General features: G+C 43.1%; 1 protein-coding gene and 1 long non-coding RNA gene across 9 annotated transcripts in view; both read left to right on the top strand.

Annotated features, from left to right (window-relative positions):
* The window catches only part of TMEM131 (transmembrane protein 131), a 239,613-nt gene that overhangs the window by 201,026 nt on the left and 17,002 nt on the right, over positions 1-21,585 (top strand). For all 8 annotated transcript variants that reach the window (XM_047443844.1, XM_047443843.1, NM_015348.2 and 5 more), the window contains 3 exons: positions 1,370-1,528; positions 1,939-2,537; positions 18,905-19,080. In XM_047443844.1, coding sequence (XP_047299800.1) covers positions 1,370-1,528; positions 1,939-2,537; positions 18,905-19,080 — 934 coding nt within the window. The remainder of the gene's footprint in view (positions 1-1,369; positions 1,529-1,938; positions 2,538-18,904; positions 19,081-21,585) is intronic.
* LOC124907861 (uncharacterized) lies at positions 19,257-19,970 on the top strand. The gene is made up of 2 exons (XR_007087147.1): positions 19,257-19,332; positions 19,497-19,970. It is a non-coding gene; the product is annotated as an uncharacterized LOC124907861 (long non-coding RNA).

Below are 21,585 nucleotides of genomic sequence, written 5' to 3'. Positions count from 1 at the left end.
GTCTTGTTTCAAGGTTCATATTCATTCAACATTTAACACTGTTGATCGAGTGCCCACTGTGTGCCAGCCACTGTTCTGAGTGCTAGGATATGCCAGCAAACAAGACAGAACTCTGCCTTTATCAATCTCACAGACTGGTGGGAACAGTTAAAACAGAGCCCTTCTTGGGTGGCATATATAATAAACAGTGTTCTTTACCTCTGAAATTTGTTATACAAATTAAGTACATTTTAACATCTTTTTAAAATGCTCAGATAAAGTTACTTGACTTGGGCATATATATAATATACTTAACACAATAGTACCTAGGCCACTTGAAACTGATTAGAAATATTTTTTAAATTCTCAGTGTCTTCATCTGTTCTCAATATATTACTTTGTGTTTCAAGAGTCAGATAAATTCACCTCTAAACTAATTTACATATTTATATCACACATCCTTTAGAGGAAACGGGTTGGAGAGTTGAAACTAAAATTCTTCTTAGTAAAAGAAAAATCAAATTCCAGGCATTTCTTCTAATACACATAATTATTGCCTCCATATAAAACCTCCATGTGAGATGGCATTCTATAAAAATTCATGAGCAGGCCGGGCACGGTGGCTCACACCTGTATTCCCAGCACTTTGGGAGGCCGAGGCGGGCAGATCACCTGAGGTCAGGAATTCAAGACCAGCCTTGCCAACATGGTGAAACCCCGTCTCTACTAAAAATACAAAAAATTAGCCGGATGTGGTGATGCATCCCTATAATCCCAGCTACTGGGGAGGCTGAGGTTGCAGTGAGCTGAGATCGCCCCATTGCACTCCAGCCTGGGCAATAAGAGCGAAACTTTGTCTCAGGAAAAAAAAGAAAGAAAGAGAAAAACTGATGTGCAAACTTTTATCCATAAAACTGTGGGTTTTTTGTTTTTTTTTTTTTTTTTTTTTTGAGACAGAGTCTCGCTCTGTTGCCCAGGCTGGAGTGCAGTGGCACGATCTCGGCTCACTGCAAGCTCCGCCTCCCGGGTTCATGCCATTCTCCTGCCTCAGCCTCCCGACTAGCTGGGACTACAGGCGCCCGCCACCACGGCCGGCTAATTTTTTGTATTTTTAGTAGAGACGGGGTTTCACCATGTTAGCCAGGATGGTGTCGATCTCCTGACCTCGTGATCCACCCGCCTCGGCCTCCCAAAGTGCTGGGATTATAGGCATGAGCTACCGTGCCCAGCCAAAACTGTGGGTTTTGTCTGTTAAAAGTTGTCACAGACAACTTGGTTTTCTATTACATCATATTGTACTTTACCAAGAAACTCTGCCTTTAACATCGAATTTTGTTGCTTGTCTACTAACAAATGAATCCTGATTTTCCAATTTTTTTTACCCCTGCAGTGCACTGTTTCTTTTGGTCATTGGAACAGCCTATTTGGAAGCTCAAGGAATATGGGAGCCATTTCGAAGGCGGCTATCCTTTGAGGCCTCGAACCCGCCCTTCGATGTGGGAAGGCCATTTGATCTCAGGAGAATCGTTGGTATTTCATCTGAAGGAAAGTATGTTCACATGCTGGCAATAAATTCCCTAGTGTACATAGATTTGGCTGATAAAATTACAATAAAAAATAAGTTTCTTTTCATCTTTGCTCAGGAGAAAAAAAATCTTAATTCTGATTACTTAATAACACCCTGTATGGAACTCTGAGTGACTTAGAGCTCATGCTGGATACTGTGTTTTTATTATATTGGTAAGGGTTAAAATACTTTTAGTTAGATCACTGATGGTAAATTATAAATGTTCAGATAGAACAGATGTTAGAGAGTTGTAGAAATTTCCCTATTTCTTGCTATTTTTTCCCTAGTGTAGTTTATATTTATGGTGGCTGTACTGATGAAGTTGAAGTTTTTTTTTAATATTAGATTTTGTAGGTTGCTATTTACTGATCTGCAGTTGGTCCCTTTTTCAGCTTGAACACACTCAGCTGTGACCCCGGTCACAGTAGGGGGTTCTGTGGAGCAGGCGGTTCATCATCCCGACCCAGTGCCGGGAGTCATAAGCAGTGTGGCCCATCGGTCCACCCACACAGCAGTCACAGCAATAGAAACTCAGCTGACGTGGAAAACGTCAGAGCCAAAAACAGTTCAAGTACCTCTAGTAGGACTTCTGCTCAAGCAGCTTCTTCACAGTCTGCTAACAAAACAAGCCCCCTTGTCTTAGATTCGAACACAGTGACTCAAGGTCATACAGCGGGCAGAAAGTCCAAAGGGGCAAAGCAGAGCCAGCACGGCAGCCAGCACCATGCCCACAGCCCGCTGGAGCAGCACCCTCAGCCTCCTCTGCCACCGCCAGTGCCTCAGCCCCAGGAGCCGCAGCCTGAAAGGCTGTCTCCCGCCCCCCTCGCACACCCTTCCCACCCAGAACGTGCCAGCAGCGCGAGGCACAGTTCCGAGGACTCGGACATCACCAGTCTCATAGAAGCCATGGACAAAGACTTCGACCACCATGACTCCCCAGCCCTAGAAGTGTTTACAGAGCAGCCTCCATCGCCATTGCCAAAAAGCAAAGGTAATCATCTCCCACTGCCGGAGATCCGTGATGTGTGAGGGAAAAGCCAGTGCGTGCTTAAGGAGCTATTAAGATTATAGTTGTGGTAAACAACTAATTCAGTAGGTTCCTCTGGCTCAGATTTATCTCCAGTGTTGGACTTCAACTTTTCCATAAAAATGCAATTAGAGGTATCTGTCATAAAAGATATATTTGTATTTCTTAGATTGTTTACCAAAATCAGAAATTCTGTGGACATCTGCTTTTCTTTTCAGCTGCCTGAGATTGTGTTATTGTGATAGATTTAGCTTTTGTTTTATTGTTAAAATAATTTTGAGCACAGGAGTAAAATGGAGATCATCTGCCTTTTAACTCCAAATTAGGATTTCTTTACTTTAGAGCAGGGGTTGGCAGACTACAGTTAGCGGGCCAAATCACCACCTGGTTTTATAAATAAAGTTTTATTGGAATAGAACCATGCTCATTTGTTGGTATATCCTCAGCTTTCATGCTTCTATGGCACAGTTAAGTAATTGTGACCAAAACAATATGGCCCACAGAGCTGAAAATATTTGCTATCTGGCCCTTTGCAAAAAAAGCCAACCCTGCTTTAGAGTTCTGCTTACTGTATTAATTACCTATTTCTGAGTAACAGATGACCTCAAAACCCAGGGGCTTAAAAGAACGTATACTCTTATCTCACAGTTTCTGTGGTCAGGGACATGAGTACAGCTTAGCGGGGTCCCATGGCCCTCACAGGACACAGGACTGCAGTCAAGGTGTTGGCCAAGGCTGATGTCATCTTAAGGTTCAACTGAAGGTGGACCTGCTTCCACGTTCACACAGGCAGTTGATGGTGGGATTCAGTTCTTCACGGACTGTTGGACGGAGGGCCCAAGCTCCTCCTTGCTGGCTGTGGCCAGAGGTCTGTCATGGTTCCTCTCCACAGAGCGGGTCACAGCTTGGCAGTTGGCTCCCCCAGAATGAGCAAACAAGAGGGCAAGGAGGAAGCAGGACGGAAGTCACTGTTTCTTACTATCTAATCTGGGAAGTGGCATCCCATCAATGTTGTAGTATTCTGCTCATTCGAAGTGTGGTCCAGCCCACACTCCAGGAGAGAGAACCGCGCAAGGGCATAAATACCAAGAGGTGGGCACCACTGGGAGCTTGGAAGTCTGCACCACACACAAATAGGTAGACCAGTTTGTAAGCTCCAGAATCAAAAGGTAAAAACCAGTAAATAGCCTCTAGTTGTATTGCAATTTCATCCCTTCACAGCCTGAGCTTTTTTGCATCTTCCTTTCTGTCTTGTGGCAGCCATGCTAATATACATTATTCCAAGCCTGTATCAGTCCCTTCCAGAATGGTTTACCAAGGAGTTTTGGGCTTCAATTTATACGGAAAACAGGGATCTTGGCAGCCCTAAGAGGCCAGAAGAAACTTGACATCCCAGAGTCAAGGAGTTTTAGATAATTTTTTAGTCCCAGGAATACAAAAACTAGCTCTATTGAGTTCTCTTGGAATTACACGCATTCGGATTTGTAAAACAGTAAGATGTCTTGAATATGATTGGTTAACCTCTTCTACAGAAATCCTTTTTGGCTAACCCATTATTAACTGAGCTTACATATTTTAGGGTAATTTTTAGAATAATCTTAAGTGAATACTTAAAAGTTCTTTTTTAATTAGATCAAGTTACATAGCGTTTTCCCCACATTTAGGGCGTGAATAAAATAAATCTGTATTATCCTTTCTTATCACAAAGAAAGAGTTGGGCAGTCAAATTGACTACCTCATTCCTGTGTCAACACAGTCTTCCAACACCAGCGTGATGGGCCAATTCTATTTTCAGGGTCACTCATTGAGAACCTAAATTTTAAAATGAAATGCTTTTTAATTTTCACAGTGGTCCTAGAGTCAACCTACTAAGAGATACTCAGTGAGGGAGCATGGATGCCACATTATTGGTGACTCTTGAGCCTGTGAGGAGACAGTGGTTAGAAGCTTTGCAGGCGCGGCTACTCTACTCACTATCCTTCCCACTGATGCTGTTTGGGAAAAAGGAAGGAGCCTGTATCTATATTTTTTTTCTTCTTCAATGTTTTTATTGAAGTATAGCATGCATATAGACAGACAGTCTTTAAAATGAACTTTAAAAGGTGGGCATTGATCTTGGGGTTGCAAACTAGTAGTATGTTGTGAAACTATAGGCTTCCAGCTGGGCAAAACCTTTATAATCTTTCAAAAGCCTACCCCCACACCCCTGCAAATAGCAGATTTACATTAAATAGTAACATTCTCTTTTTAGAGGCAACACGTTCTTTTTTTTCTCCCCCTGGTATCTCATACTAAAATTATTTCTTATAATGAGCTTATGTAGTTTCTGGTTTTTGGAAGCTGCTCAGGATGACCTCTTCAAGTGAATGTGTTTATCTCCCTGGATCTTGCCTTCTGCGGTTGGATGGCTTGCAAGCCACACAGCCATGCTATGCCATCTCTCCAGTCACTGCTTCCAGTGGAAGATGATGCCCAGAAATGCCGCCTGTTCATGGTTGGCCTGAGCAGGGACTCTTGTTGCTGAATAATCATTAGATTCTGTACTTCTTTGGTTTCTCCCCCCTCTAACACTTAAACCCCATGGACTGGACAGCAGCCACTGCAGGATTGAGGGCTAAAACCCAAGAAAGCCGTGAGCCTGGCACAGTTGGGTCTCAGTGTCTGTTAACCAGAGAAATGATGGCGTCTGTGGCCATTCTCGTTTCTGGCTTTGGCTTTATCAAGGGTAGGGAGAGGCAGAGAGGTGTGGCGTCCTGAGGCCACGTTCTGCCATTAGGCAGGTGCAGATTATATCTTGACTCCGCTCCCTTACTAACTGTGTGACTTGGGAGAAAATGACTCCCCTGAGCCTCCACTTGTTATTTTTAAAGTGAAGAGAACAGTTACTCCCCACATCATAGGATATCACTACTGCCATGGTTATTATTGGGGCAGGAAGTGGCACATGCCATCTGTAGCCTGCTGAGTTGAAGGTGGCTGTGGAGCATCCCAGCAGAAGCATCTGTTAGGAACTTGGTCTCAAGGGTAAGAATTGGGACAAGCAGAGAATCCTGAGGGCAAGGCCAAACGAGAAGGCAGCCAGCAGATAGCATGACAGACAGCATAACAGAAAGCAGTGGAAGGTGTGGTTAGCACATGCCAGCAGGCAGGGCCAGGCAAAGCAGAGGCTGAAGAGTGCTCGCGGAGCCTGGACTTGAGGACATTATTTGTGACCTTGGAAAGAACAGTTTGTGTGAAGCGCCATCACCTCTGACTGAGACCAAGTCACTGTGGCTTAGAGTAACTTTCACATCAGACTGTTAGTAGTGGCCACTAACTAGTGAGTGTTTTGGGAGCTTTTACTCTTTAACCTGTATTTTCCCTATTTAATTTTTAACAAGAAAAAAGTATGCATGTATTGTATGGTAGGTTTTTAAAAAATATAGAGAGTTACAACCAAGAAGGCAATATTTTTTATGAAAAATGAATAATACATGGAAACATGGTGCTTGAAAATATCTCTGGGCCAAGGTCAGAAAGCCTATAGAGCTGAGACAGTGGTGCTGATCCACACTTGCCAAGGTTTCAGACGTGACCACAATTTCTCGTGCACCCTGGTGACTGGCACTGCTTGCTACGGTTTTCCAGTAAGGCAGCGCTGGGCAGAATGGGAGCAAGACCCAGTCTGTGTGATTCTAACTCCTGCACTGTGCTGCCTCCTCGAAGAAAAAGAGGGAGGGGGAAGAAAATGAGGAGATAATTGGTGAAACCATGTGCCCAGGTGGTGGAGTGGGCCGAGACCCAGTTTGGTAGATGATAAAAGGATGGACAGTCCGCAGGTGTGCAGATGTGCGTGAGTTGGTAGAGATGGAGAGGCAGGATACGGGTTTTCACTTGAACTTGAGGAGTCAACTTGAGGCAGCATGTGGGTTTAGGGAAGTTTTTACTTGAACTAAGTCATCCTCTGAGACTGCTGGGGGAAGTGGTAGGGTAGAAACACAAAATAGACAAAGTTTGGAATAGTCAGATTCCACGTTGCTGAGAATGTTGTAGGCCCAGGGAGTCAGCAGGGGCAGGAAACTTGGATCTGTACGCTGGCCCCTTCAGCAACATTGGAGGCCCAGCCGAGGGCCACTGAGGCACTGCCTCAGGTTTGTGTCACTTTCTCACTTGTACCCTGCAGCCCAGTGGTGAAGAATGAAAACTGGGTAGTTGGTGGAGTAGGACAGTGCTGGAGTTCTGTGGGGCAGGGACAGCAAAAAGACAGCGAGTGAGGACGTCACAGGAGTGCTGGCAGGAGAGCGGTGGGGTGCTGTGCTGGCAGTGTCGAATTAGCAACTTGGGGAAGGACCTTTAGCCAGAAGGAACCTCACAGATAGAGAACATGGATGAGTCAAGGGATGGGAAATCCAACAGATTGAATTTCGAGGATGGTGGGAGCAAGGAATGTTAGGAGACTAAGGTTTAAAAAGGAGGTGTGAGTGTAAGGTTTCAGAGGAAAAGCAGTTCTGGGCAATACCAGGTTCGTAGGTGCAGCCTTGGAAATGGGATGTCAGAGTGAGCTAGAGGTGAGGTCCACAGTCCTTATGCAACACTCTGGGTGCCTCGTGTGTTTGAGAATTCAGAATTTTGGAAAGGTATGTAGTCATGCACCACACGATGCAGAAGACTGTAAAAGTAGGTGAACATCAGCAGCCACCAAAAATATATAGTCATATTAAGTTTTGTTTCTAAATGAGTTTGGGGAAAAAAACCTTTGAGAGTTTTTTGGATTTCAGATTTACAGATAAGAGATTGTCCACCTGTATAAGGCCTGGGGCCCAGACAATGGGAGGTCCAGGAAAAGAAGAAGTCCGTAAGTGTGATGCCAGCACCCCTGAAGCCTGGGGAAATTCTTTCTGGAGGTCACAGTTGGTGATTCTCTGGAGGTTGTCCAGAGATGTCCCTCTCAGGTGCTGTCACTGATATGACAGGGCCTAACGTGGGACCACATATGTTCAGAGAACCCATTTGCTAGTGATTGAAACTTCCCTGAAATAGTTCTTTTGGGTGGCAATTAAATGAAATGATTTAAAGTGGGAGAGAGGCAACTAACTAGCTCAGACTAACGATTCATTCAGAGCACCTAGCTCAGACAAATTCATTACACAGCATGTAGTGAAGATAAAGACGAAGTAAATGTCTAGGACATGCTTTTTACATAGATAATTCATACTTTGCCTACATTTAAAACAGATTAGAGGCAGTTTAAATTATCATAGCACATATAAAACAATGAATAAAAGTCAGAAATGGTTTTTGGTGTTTCATCTGTTTTTTAGTTACGGTACTATCAGCAGAAACCTCGAATAAAGTTAGTTGTTACCATTAAGTGTTAAGTTGAACTGCAAATTTTCTGGCAGTTATGGTTGAGGAAAAATGTCATATAGTTCTGAAGGAAAAGGGGGCATAGGAGTTCATCTGGAAAAAACAGTTTGCTGGCATTAAATTCCTGCCTGAATCTGAGGACATCGAATAGTAGAACGGATATCGTGGCTCTGTTACAGAGACTATGGCAATGTTCTTCACATAGATCCTTTCTGTCGGCCCCCCGTCAAACCCAGCATCTTCACATTGAATGAGAGCTCCTCACCTACACCGTGCCTCTCAGATGAACACTCAGTCACCCCCACATGCACAGCATTTATGGTGACCATGGGTAAGTATAGCTAGTGGGTGGTTCTCTACACTAAACATTTAGCAGCCTAAGTGTTCTTCCACACACTGAGGTTAGCCCCAAGGTACCCCACAGTCAGAGACAAATGTTTTTGTCAATAAAGAGTTTTTGGTTTTTGGTTTTTGGGAGTTTTGTTAAGACAGAGTCTCACTGGCTGGAGTGCAGTGGTGTGATCTCAGCCCAGTGCAGCCTCCCAGACTTAAGGGATTCTTCCACCTCAGCCTCCCAAGTAGCTGGAACTTGTAGGTATGCACCACCATGCCTAATTTTTTTATTTTTATTTTTGGAGAGACAGGGTATCCCTATGTTGTTCATGCTGGGCTCAAGCAATCCCTCTGCCTCAGCCTCCCAAAGTGCTGGGATTACAAGTGTGAGCCACATCGTATCTGGCCACTTGCTTGTTTTTTAGCTTTTTATTTTGAGATGCTTGTAGATTCACGTGCAAATAATAAATTCAGAGATCTCTTATACCTTTTACCCAGTTTCTCCCAATGGTAACACATTGCAAAACCACTGTACACTATTACTATACCCAGGATAGTGATGCTGATACAGCCAAGACACAGAACATTTCCAAGCCCACAGGAATCCTCATGGGCCCTTTTCTAGCCACACTCACTTCCCTCCTTCTTCAGCCTACCCCTTAGTCTGGCAACTATGATTCCATTTATGTAACATTCTTGAAATGACAAAATTGTAGAAATGGAGGAGATTAATAGTTGCCAGACTAAGGAGAACTTTTCCCCAAAAGGAATGTACCATTTTGGTTTTTCTGAGTCAGTTTAATTCTCTGGAGATTCACCAGTGCGTTCCTTTTTATTGCTGAATAGTAGTCCAACTTATGGATGTACTGTAGGTTTTTTAGTCATTTGCTCATTGAAGAACATTTGGATTATGTCTAATTTGGGGCTGTTATGTATAAAGATGCTACAAATATTTGTGTACAAGTTTTTGTATGAACACAGAACTTCATTTCTCTAGGATATGTGCCCAGGAGTGAATTTGTTGGGTCTTATGATAGTTGCATATTTCATTTTTTAAGAAACTGCAAAAACGTTTTCTCTAATGACTGTGCTGTATTACATTCCCACCAGCAACGTAGGAGTGATCCAGGTTCTCCACATCCTCAGCAGCATCTTCATTTTTTTCTGTTGAATCCATTCTGATAAGTGTGTAGTGATACCTCTTTGTGGTTTTTATTTGCAGTTATTTTCTAATGGATAATGATATTGAATATATTTTCATGTGCTTATTTGACATCTGTATGTTTTCCTTGGTAAAATACCTTCTTCATGTCTTTTGCCCATTGTTTTAATTGGATTGTTTGGGTTTTTCTACTATTGATTTTGAGAGTCATTTACACATTCTAAATACTAGTACTTTGTCAGATATGTGGTTTGCAAATAATTTTTACTTGCCTGTAGTGTGTCTTTTTATCCTTTTATAGTCCATGATTCATTTTGAGTTCATCTTGTATGAAGTGTGAAACTTAGTTTGGAGTTCACTTTGACTTAAAGTGGGGGGAAGATGTTAATTTTTAAGTCACTTTCCTAATAGTTACAGGGCTGTTCACATCATCTGTTTCATATTCAGTGAGTTGTGGTAGTAGTGTTTTTTAATCAAGTGGTCCATCATTTCATCTAAGTTACCACATTTATGTGAATAGAGTTGTTTATAGTATTCCCTTACCATCATGTTGATGTCTGTAGGGTCTATAGGAATATTCTGTTTTGTTTCTGATATTGGTAATTTGTGTCTTTTTTAGTTATTTTTGTTCATTTTTTGGGGTTTTTGGTCAGTCTTGCTAGGTTTGTCAGTTTTACTGATCTAATCAAAGAACAGCTTTGTGTTTCATTGATTTTTCTCCGTTGCTTATCTGTTTCAATCACAGCGCCTTCTGTTCTTATCTTTGTTATTATCTTTGTCCTGCTTACTTTAGATTTATTTTTCTGCTCTTTTTTTAGTTATGTAAAGTGGAAGCTTTAATTGTTAATACAGGACTTTCCCCCCCGTTTTATGTATGCTTTTAGTGCTATAAATTTCCTCCTCACCCCTGCTTTATTGATGTCCCACAAATTTTGATATATGGAACTTTCAGTTTCATTCCCTTCCATTTTTTTTCTTTTGAGACTTTCTGTGACCCATGAATAATTTAGAAGTGTGTTGCTTAGTTTCCAGTCTTCCAAGATTGGAGACTTTTCCTATCTTTCTGTTATTGCTTTCTACTTTGAATCCACTTTAGTTGGGAGAATGATTTCACTTCTTTTGATTTCATTTCTTTTAAATGTGTTAAATGATTTCACTTCTTTTAAATGTGTTGAGGTTTGTTTTATGGCCCAGTATATGGTCTGTCTTGGCTTATGACCCATGGGCACTTGAAAAGAATGTATATTCTCCTGTTTTGTGTGGACTAGTTTATAAATGTCCATTAGAGTCTGTTGGTTGATAATGGTGTTAAGTTCTTTCCTGATTTTTCTGTCTAGTTGTTATACTGTTGAGAGAAGGTTGTTGACATCTCCAAATGTAATTGTGGATTTCTCTTTTAGATGTTTCTGCTTTACATAGTTTTCAGTGCTTTTGTTTGATGCATTTACATTTAACATTGCTGTAACTTCTTGGTGGATTGACTGTTTTATCATTATATCATGTCCTTCTTTGTTTCTAGTAATTTTCTTTCCTCTCAAGTTCATCTAGTATTAATATAGCCACCTGCTTTCCTTTAATTAATGTTTCCATGATTTTTTTTCCATCCTTTTACTTCAACCTGCCTATATCATTGTATTTGAAGTACGTTTCTTATAGACAGCATATAATTTGGGTCATGATTTTTAATCCAGTCTGCCAATCTCTGTCTTTTTAATTACATAAGTAGACTGTCTGCTTTTAATGTGCTTATTGATATGTTAGGACTTAAATCTACCATTTTATTTTTATTTTGTTTTCTCTATTTTCTTTTTCCTGCCTTTTTGTGGGTTACTTGTATATTTTTTAGAATTCTGTTTTGTCTGTAGCATTTTTTAGTGTATCTCTTTTTTAGTGGTTGCTCTAGGTATACATTATATGTACATAACTTCTCATGGTCCTGGGGTCATCATTTTACCATTGCAAGTGAACTATAGAAACCTTATCTCCCTTTATGTTTCTTTGCTTTCCCCCAGTTGTCTTAAATATTTCCTCTACATACATTTAGAACCAAATCAGATAATGTTTGAATTTTTGCATCAGTCATCAAACATAATTTAGAAGACTTAAGATATGAAGGAAATCTTGTTTTATTTATATTTTTTTCCTAATCCTCCAAGGTTCCTTCTTTTATCATTTCCTTTCTGTTTTGGTAACTTCCTTCAGCCATTTTTTTAGGGTAGGTCTGTTGGATATGAATTCTCTGAGTTTTGTTTCATCTGAGAATGTCTGAATATTCCTGAAGGATATTTTCATTTGAGTATAGGATTCTGGAATGACACTTGTTTTCTTTGAGTACTTGAAAAATGCTTCCTTTTAGCCTCCGTGGTTTCTAATGAGAAATCTGTCATTCTAATTGTATTTTCCTTATAGATAATGTGTCATTTTCTCTGGCTGATTTCAAGGTTTTTTTGTCTTTAGTTTTCACAAGTTTGATTATAATGCATCTTGATGTGGATTCGTTTCTGTTTACCCTTTTTGAGGTTTGCTCTTTTTTTTTTTTTTAAGTCTATATAGGTTTAGTCTCACCAAATTTAGGAAGTTTTTACCCATTGTTTCTTTAGGTACTTCTTCAGCCCTTCCTTTTTCTCCTTTCCTTCTGAGACTTTGATAACACAAATGTCAGATCTTTTGTTATAATTACACGGGTCCCTGAAGCTCTGTTCTTTTTTTTTAGTCCATTTTCTCTCATAATTCCTAATTGTCTGTATTTGTTTACTGATTATTTCCTGTCTCCTCTGTTCTGCTATTGAGCCCATGCAGTGAGCTTTTTATTTCAGTTACTATATTTTTCAGTTCTGACATTTCCATTTTGTTCTTCTTTAGCTTCTATTTCTTTGCTGTGGCTGTTTTTTCAGTTGTTTCAAGCATGTTCATAATTGCTCATTGAACAAGCATTTTTATGATGGCTTTGTCAGGTAATTTCAACATCTCTCTCATCTTGGTGTTGGCATCTGTTTATTGTTTTGTTTGTGTTTTCATTTGATTTGAGAAATTTCTGATTCTTGGTATGAAGAGTGGCTGTAGATTGAAACCTGGACCATTTGGGTATTAATGTTCTGAGACTGGATCTTACCTAAACCTTCTGTTTTAACTGGCTTTCTCTGACTGCTCTGGCAGAGGCAGAGGAAGGGGTTGTGCCACCTTTTTATTGCCAGGTGGAGTTAGAAGTGCTGGTTTCCTGCTGTCCTCTGTTGACTCGCAAGGGCAGGGAGGCTCCTCATTACTGCTGGGTAGGGCTGGGAGTTCTGGTTCCCATGTTGTCTTTGCTGACACCACTGGGCAGTGGTAGAAGTCCTGACTGTCCACTCGGCCTCCTCTGTCACCACCTCAGTGGCAAAGGGAGGGGAGAGTTGGCTCCTTAGTGCCTGGCCAGGAAGGGCGTTCATTACTGACTGTCTGGAATGAAAGGCTCAGCTCCCTGCTTAGCCCTCCCTGATAGCACCATCGCCAGCATGCTGGGATGTCTGGTTACAGCCTTGCAAGGGTGGAAGTCTTGGCTCCCACTTTGGCCTTTGTTGGCATGGGTGGATATGGCACCCCAGTTCTTACCGTGGTGTTGGCCTGGAGCCTTTGTCTTGCTGGGCTGCCCCTTTCCTGCACCTTTGGCAAGAGATAGCTGGCTTTTGTCGAGGCTTTATTTGTGCACATTGGTGTTTCTGAGTGGATGTGTGTGGCAAAAAGAAAACCCAGGAATCTTACTATCATGCCTTTCCTCAGACCCCAGTCTCCCTCCAGTCTGTCACCTTCTCTGCCTTTCAGAGTCATCTTCTTTGTTTTTGTATACTGCCTAGAGTTTTTAGTTTTGCTTGGCAGGAAGAATAAGGAAAAGATCTACTCCATCTTCCCAAAAGTGTAAGTCTCCAGGTGTTTTGTTTGTTTGTTTAAATGAGATTTATATTTCCCAATTAGGGAAAATCTTGGGCTCCACTAAGTGTAGAGACTGAAATGGGATCAGAAAGTCATTTGTAGAAATTTTCACTGTAAAGCCACAGATTGGTACTAATCTCACAAAAACCAAACTCATTGGTCATAACCACTAATCCTAGAAGAGCATTACAGTCTACTTATTGATAGGATAAATTACTTATAAAGGATTGAGATGGGATAAGCATTTGGACTTGGGTTAGTGAGTCTCAGAGCAGGTCACAGCATTGGTATATTTCACTGTTGAGAAGGCTAAACACTGACTTGTGCAGCCTGGCAGATGCTGCTGAGCACTTGCCACGTGCTGGGCGCTGTGCAAGGCACTGGGGCTGGAGAGATCAGTAAGGCCTTATCCCTGCCCTTAGGTGCTTAGGCTGTATGACGAATAGAGCCAAGGGGGTCCATGCCGGGAGCCTGGAAAGGGGCAATCTCAGGGAGAATGTCGCAGAAGAGCTTCATGTCCAGAGACAGACCCGAATGATTGCATGACCTCAGTAGGTGAGGAGTCTGTGTGGAGATCGTGGGAGCAGGCAAGCAGGGTGACCAGCCTCAGGGATGCTTCATCCGGGCAGTGGTGTGAACCCGACGAACCTGGCTGCTCTACCAAGATTCCTTCTCTGCCACCAGGTTCACCTTGGGCATATTTCTCACTTGGTCACTTCAAGGGAAACACACTTCCGAGTTTTTCTAAACCGCTTCTCCATTCAGCTTGTACCATCTTTATTTAGATGGGTTAATTTTTATTACTGATTATGCACCAGTTAAGTTGTGGTTCCCGTACAGCTGGGAGACATCCTGCCTTCCCCACTGTTCATTGAGTTCATTAATTCATCTTTGAGAGGACAGTCTCCCTCTGAATTCTGTTTTTTTAATTGGCAAATAATAATTATATATGTTATACAATGATTGCCCCTGATAGGTCAAGGGTGGAGCATATGGAAGAGTTAGGGATAGGCTGGAGCAGACACTGGTAAGGTAGGTGAATCCAAATTTGAACTTTATCCTGTAGAAAATGAGTGACAGGATAACATTTCTAAGCTTTAAAAATGTTTCAAAGGGAAGTCAGGGCTACTGACAGTGTAGAAAACGGAGTGGGGTGGGAGAGTGGGGCAGGAAGAGATGCTCATCAGGGAGACAAGGCCATTACGGGTGGCCAGGCAACACTTGAGGAAGCCCTGGGCTCAGGGAGTGGCAGTGGAGGTGCATGAGAAAGGCATTTGAGGTTTTAGAAGTAGAATCCATTCCTACCGATTGATTGATGGTAAAATTGCATTGTTTAGATCATTTCTTCCAGGTGACTCAGAATTCCCCCAATTCTGTTCTGAATGACAGCACCTATCCACCAGAGATTCCCAGGGGACAGAGAAATAGGAAATGAGGCCCTGCATTTTTGCCAGCAATTCCCCAACACAGGTCTCTGATAAACCTGGATAGAATTTATACCTAAAAGCCAGGGTATTCTTTTGTTTTTGTTTTTGTTTTTTTTTGTTTGTTTGTTTTTTGTTTGTTTTGTTTTTGTTTTTTTGGAGAAAAGGTCTCACTCTGTAACCCAGGATGGAGTGCAGTGGTGCAATCATAACTCACTATAACCTCAAACTCCTGGGCTCAAGAGATCCTCCTGCCTCAGCCTTCTGAGTAGCTAGAACTACAGGTGTGTGCCACCACACCCAGCTAGTTTTATTTTAAAATTTTTTGTAGAGATGAAGTCTCACTATTTTACCCAGGCTGGTCTGGAACACCTGGCCTCAAGTGATCCTCCTGCTTTGGCTTCCCAAACCTTTGGGGATTACAGGCCACTGCTGCGCCCAGCCCTGGGATTCCTAAATTGACCATACATTATTACTGTCACCTGGAGGTCTTGTTAAATAGATTGCTGTGCCTACCCGCAGAGTTCTGGTTCTGTAGGTCTGGAATGGGGCCATAGAATTTGCATTTCTAACAAGGTCCCAGGTGATGCGGACTCTGGGGCAACAGGGGACACTTTGAGAACTACTGACCTAACAAAAGATTTGGAAGAGTCTCTCCTTTCTCTGAAGGCCAGTTTTTCTACTGGAACCCAGCCCTAAGGAAGAGACAAGACCCTTAGGAACACGCTTGCCCTGAGAGTCAGCTTACTGCTTCAGCCCACCCAGGGGCAAGCGGGAGGCAGAGGCCACTCCCTGTGGGGACAGAGACTGCCTGCAGCTAGACGTCGGCCATCCAGTCTTATCAGTCAGGTTAGGGAAGGCATCCAGTATTATCAGTCAGGTTAGGGAAGGCACATTGTCTCCCCTCCCACTAACATTTGAACTTTTGGGTATCCAAACAGCAGAAGAAATCATACATGGCCCTGAAGTAGCTCCTAGCCTGGGTGGTTGGATTGATGTTGATACCATGGACCAGTGGCTCTCAGCCTGGGTGCACAGTAGAATCCCTAGGTTCTATCCAGAACTGTTGAGTCAGAATCTCTCTGAGGGGTGGGGCCTAGACCCTGAGGGGTCGGGCCCAGACTGCAGTATTTTCTTTTTAACATTCCATGTGTTATTCTGAAGTGTGTCTGGTTAAGAACCATAATCACAAACTTGAGAATCCACACGATGTTTTTGGGATAGTTAACTCAGTTTTGGACATTTGGGACTTGGATTGTTGATGTTAATGAAATTGAGCCCTAGGGAGAATGTAAAGGAAAAAGAGAAAAAGCTCCAAGGGCAGATCTCTAGGGAATACCAGCAAAGATAGAGTCAGCAAAGAAGTTGTCAGAAGAAGGGGTTCATGGTGGGGCCTGGCAGGAGCTACATTCTACAGTGTCCAGTGGAACGGGAAGGTCATGTAGAATGAGGAATGATAGGCATCATGGGCTTCAACAGGTTAGAGATTCTTGTCAGCCTTTCCAAAATCACTTTTGTTAAGGTGCTAGGGACAGAAGTCGAAGGACTGCATATTGAGTTAATAAGGTGATGATTTTAAGATAAAAAGGGTAAATTACTCTTCCATGCAATAATTTTTTTTTTTTTTTGAGATGAAGTCTTGCTCTGTCACCCAGGCTGGAGTGCAGTGGCACGATCTCAGCCCACTGCAACCTCCACCTCCTGAGTTCAAGCGATTCTCCTGCCTCAGCCTCCCAAGTAACTGGGATTACAGGCACATGCCACCATGCCCAGCTAATTTTTATATTTTTAGTAGAGATGAGGTTTCATCATATTGGCCAGGCTGGTCTCAAACTCCTGACCTCAAGTGATCCGCCCTCCTCGGCCTCCCAAAGTGCTGGGATTACAGGCCTGAGCCGAATTAATCTTTTGTTACTGAAGTTTTCAACTTAACTATTGTTATGTTAGGTATTTTTTGTCTACTCATAGCTTCACTTTTTGAGTTTAGTTTTTGAAAATTCATTTCCAGCCATTTCATATTTATTATGGAAGTTTCAGGTTATTGTAAATATAGATTATTTATACAGATTTACTGCCCCTCACCCAATGAACCTAAGCATGATAAAATTGTATAATTGCAGGTGAGAAGTTTATTATATGGGGAACTGATCTTGACTGTATGGGAAATTTTGAAGTATTCTCAGCCTGGGCTGTTGAACTCTCAGAATGTAAGAAATCCCAGAGCTCATGGAGCAAAGCAGGACACTCCCCTTCCTGTCTACCATGATGGGGAGAAGCTCTGGCTCTTCGATGTAGGTCAGGGGCCTGTTTTTTGTTGGTTTGGTTTGGTTTGGTTTGGCTTGGTTTGGCTTGGTTTGGTTTTTTGAGGCAGGGTCTTGCTCTGTTGTCCAAGCTGGGGCACAGTGGCACGATTATAATTAAACAAACTAGTCAGTCCTATGCTTGAAACGAGATGCCCCTTCAATTTTTGAGACTTACTATCCAAGTTATGGTTTCAGATCTAACACTTCTTGTAATCAGTGTGCAATAAATGATGAAATGACATTCCTGGAAATCACTAAGCGATTTACTTACTCTTTTTCTAGCTCAGGCTCAGCAGACTTTTTCTGTAAAGGGCCAGGTAGTAAATGTTTGAGGCTTTATGGGCCACAGACTATCTCTGTTGCCTCTTCTTATTTGTGTCTTTTTTTCGACCACTTCAAAAATGTAAAAATCATTCTTAGCTCACAAGCCATAAAAAACAGACTGCAGGCCAGATTTGGCCCATGGGCCATAGTTTGCCAACCCGTTTTAAACACTGAGGTTCGAGTCTCCCATTAATGGTGGCATTCTCTGGGATAACGCCTAAAACATTGGAGTTTTAATTAAGTTGTATTAAGTCACCATTATCGAAAAGATGTATTAGAAATTATGACCCGTACAGACTGGGTTAAAATGTGGCTTGTGTGTCTTCTGCAGCTTGCACCTGCCTGCCCGCCCAGGTGATTTTGCAGGCACAATCTGAGGTGCTAGAACCTGGGGCTTTCTCTGCCTCTGTCTAGTCCTGCTGGATTGTAAGCTCCATGAGGGCAGGAGCTTGCTTGTTGTTTGCTACTATGTTCCCAGCACACAGAACACTGCTGGGAAATATGTTCGGGGCTGGTTCTCATTTGTCTTGATAGCATCCAGATTTTTCCAAGTAGTTGGCTTTCCGTATGTCCATTTTACTCTCTGTCCATATATATACACAACATTACATAGTACTCATGCACCAGTTACCATTCCCAGGGATTATGTAATTCCTCAGTACAGCCCTGTGTGGTCTTGTGTCTCCATCTTACAGATGAGAGGCCATGATCAGGCAGCTAGTTTGTAGAAAGCTGCCAGGGTTTGCACCCAGCCATTATGGCTACACTGCTGGGACTCTTAGCGCCCCTAAAGGGAAGCACTTGAGTGGCTCGTTGTTTATGTCACCATCAGGCTTCCATCTCCCAGCAGATGTCAGAGGATCTCTGGTTTTCACTTCTGTAACTTTTCAAAGCTCTATCACCCTTTGGAGAATATAAGAACATTCTGAGACAGACATACAGATTTGTCAAAACTGCCGAGTTTGTCCAAACTCACTGAACTGTACCCTTAAAATGGGTGTGTTCTATTATATATAAGTTGTATCTCAGTAAAGTTGATTTTTAAAATTGTTCTCATCACAAAGTCAAATGGATTTGGAAAGCTTTAATTAGAGAAGAAAAAAAGAAACCTTTTTTAATCAGAAGAGTCCAGCCTCTTCCAACAAAAGTTGTAATTGCTTTGTTTTCCAAGCTAGCTATTTAAAAATCAGGAGTTCTGGCCAGGCATGGTGGCTCACGCCTGTAATCCCAGCACTTTGGGAGGCCCGAGGCAGGCAGATCACGAGGTCAGGAGATTGAGACCATCCTGGCTAACACGACGAAACCCCGTCTCTACTAAAAAATACAAAAAATTAGCTGGGCATGGTGGCGGGCGCCTGTAGTCCCAGCTACTCAGGAGGCTGAGGCAGGAGAATGGTGTGAACCCGGGAGGCGGAGCTTGCAGTGAGCCAAGATCTCGCCACTGCACTCCAGCCTGGGTGACAGAGCAAGACTCCATCTCAAAAAAAAAAGAAACAAAAACAAGAGTTCTTTTACTTTAATTTTTATCCTCAGGGAAAGGAAAACCTCTTCAGCGCAAGGTGAAACCACCTAAGAAGCAAGAGGAAAAGGAGAAGAAGGGAAAGGGAAAGCCACAGGAAGATGAGCTGAAGGACTCTTTGGCTGATGATGATAGCTCCTCCACCACCACAGAGACCTCCAACCCTGACACAGAACCGCTCCTCAAGGAGGTACGGGCTGATCTCACACAACAAAACACGAGGGAGAAAGAGAGGTCTCCTGCAGCTCACAAGACCTTCCATCTCATAGATTCTGGTTTTAGTACAAAAGTAATGTTTAAATCTAGGATGAGCACCTACTGAGGAATGGTTCCTGTGCTGGGCGTGCCTCCAGAGTCATTCCCCTGCAGACAACAGTCACAGCTGTGGGGATGAATGGCTCCATGTCCTCCAGGGAAGAACAGCTGGAAGCATGTTACTAAAGTAAGATGGTTAGAAACTGGAAACACTGCTTGAAAGCTAGGGACTATCTGGAATAGTAACTATTCTACCTCATGAAACTTCTTTCAGATTTTAAGGATCAAAAGAATGAGAAGGAACTCTACCATTTTAATTAGGTTGTGTTTTTCCTGTCATGTTGCTCCTAGCACCTGCTGGAAGCGGGGTTTTGGTGGCCGCTTACTCCCAAGCAGTAGAGTGGTGACCGCCCTGGAGGGAGTGTGGCCCCAGGAAAGACCCCAGGCTTTAGTGGCCCCCAGGGACGAGGAGCCCAGCCCAGGACACATCAGCACGCCAAGAAGCTGCCTCGCCCGTTGGAGGCCTCGGCTCCCAGGGCTGTTATCACAGCAGGAAGAGCAGTGCAAAGTGTCGGGTCCAGTGGGCCTTAGTGACGGGGTCAGATTACTGCTGTGAGTAGTATGGGGTGTGCAAGAAAGGGTAATAATTCCACTCTGGCGCTTTTATTTTTAGATAAATGGATTTCAAATCTAAACTGATCCTAATATAGCCTTTAATGTTGTAGAACAGACTTTCTTTTTTAGTTTTAGTCTATTGACCAAGGAATCACTTCTTACAGATTTCCAGCAGTGTCATTCACATGCATTAAAATGTTTAAAATGAAATGTATATGTAACTTACTTTCAAGTTAGCCACCTTTCCCTTTGCATTCCCTCACCGTTACCGTGGTCCTCCATCTACCCCTAGCCCAACTCCTAAATAGTTCTGGAGCTCTGTAGTTTATAGCACTTTAACAAATTACTTCAGAGAAACAGAAAGCCCTGTGCTAAACTTTGAGTAAAATCCCAGCAGTTTAAACCCTGTGCATCAGCGTTCGGAAGGCATTTTCTGCACGACTTTCTCCCACTTCCCTTCCCACCTGCCAGCCTCTTCCTGCTCACACCACTGTGGCCCCCTCTCCAGCGGCCCCCAGTGGCCAGTGTTCTGTGCTCACCCACTGATGTCATTCTTAGCTCCCTGTTCATTCCCTCCTGTGTTCCCAGCTTCTTCCGTGCTATTTGTGCAGCTCAGAACTCACATCCTTCATGAGGCCTCCTTGTCTGGTTACTACCCTGTCCCCTCCAACGAGTTATTCCTCCTGCTCAGCAATCTGCATAGAGGCCGTGTGCTTTTATTTCTCTGCAACTGATCTCAGTTTGTCAGTTAATGTGTATTTTCTTCCCAGCTAAATCACAACTTTGATAGGTCATTTTCTCTTGCATGTCTTCTCCAATTCTGTTCTACCCATTCAGTCAACACATAGGAATTGAGCACCCACGTGCCAGGCCACGTGCTAGGTGCGTAGGCAACAACAGTGGACAAAAGGCCACATCCTTGTCCTCGAAAAGCTCATGGTTTACAAGATACCTGATGGGTCAAGTATTCAAGAAAGACTTCATGAATAACTCAAAGTAGTTTCAAACGATATGTGAGCCAGGGAGATGTTTTAGCCCTAGCTCTGGTTATTTACTCTTGACAGTTAAATAGATTCACCTGGTGTGACCTATTAAAATCCAGGCTGTCTTCATAATCATAAATTTTAAAGCTCTTGGGTAGATGCTAATTCACCACATGCCTATAGCTCCCCTCCACAGCCATCACTGTCCCCTTTGCTGAGTACGTCCTTCCCCATCTGTCCCTGCCAGTGCTTCCGTAAACACAGTATTTCACAGATTGTCTGGGGCAAAGAACCAGGTTGCTTTTAGTACACAGCCCACTCCACATGCAGCTCCCCAGGCGAGTTCAGCAATACCTGAGTGCAGCCTGGGCAACATGGTGAAACCCCATTTCTACAAAAAAATACAAGAATTAGCTGGGTGTGGTGGCATGTGCCTGTAGTCCTAGCTACTCAGGAGGCTGAGGTGAGAGGATCACTTGAGCCCAGGGGTGACAGAGTGAGTACCTTGTCTCAAAAAAAAAAAAACCACACATAATACATGAGTAGATGTGTACCCTGTTGGGGAGACAGGTCCACTGATCTCACACTCAGATGCTGCAATGAAGTCAGATTGCCACAGAAATCCGTGGGGCAGGTTCTGTACTTTCCTGGTCCTGGCTGGGCCAGCTGGGTAGCACAGCTTTAAGATGCGTCTTGGATGTGGCCGCCCACTCCAGATTCCACATTTTAGCGGGCAGGACAGCCCTTCTGTGCTGCTGCAGTGGCCAGTAACATTCCCCCAGCAGAGGTCCATGCTGGCGTCTGTCGTGTGTCTCCCTCCTGCTAGACTTCACCATCCTTAG

The sequence above is a fragment of the Homo sapiens genome, chromosome 2, assembly GCF_000001405.40.
Source record: "Homo sapiens chromosome 2, GRCh38.p14 Primary Assembly".
NCBI classification, from domain to species: domain Eukaryota; kingdom Metazoa; phylum Chordata; class Mammalia; order Primates; family Hominidae; genus Homo; species Homo sapiens.
This window is presented reverse-complemented; position numbering and strand designations above follow the sequence as displayed.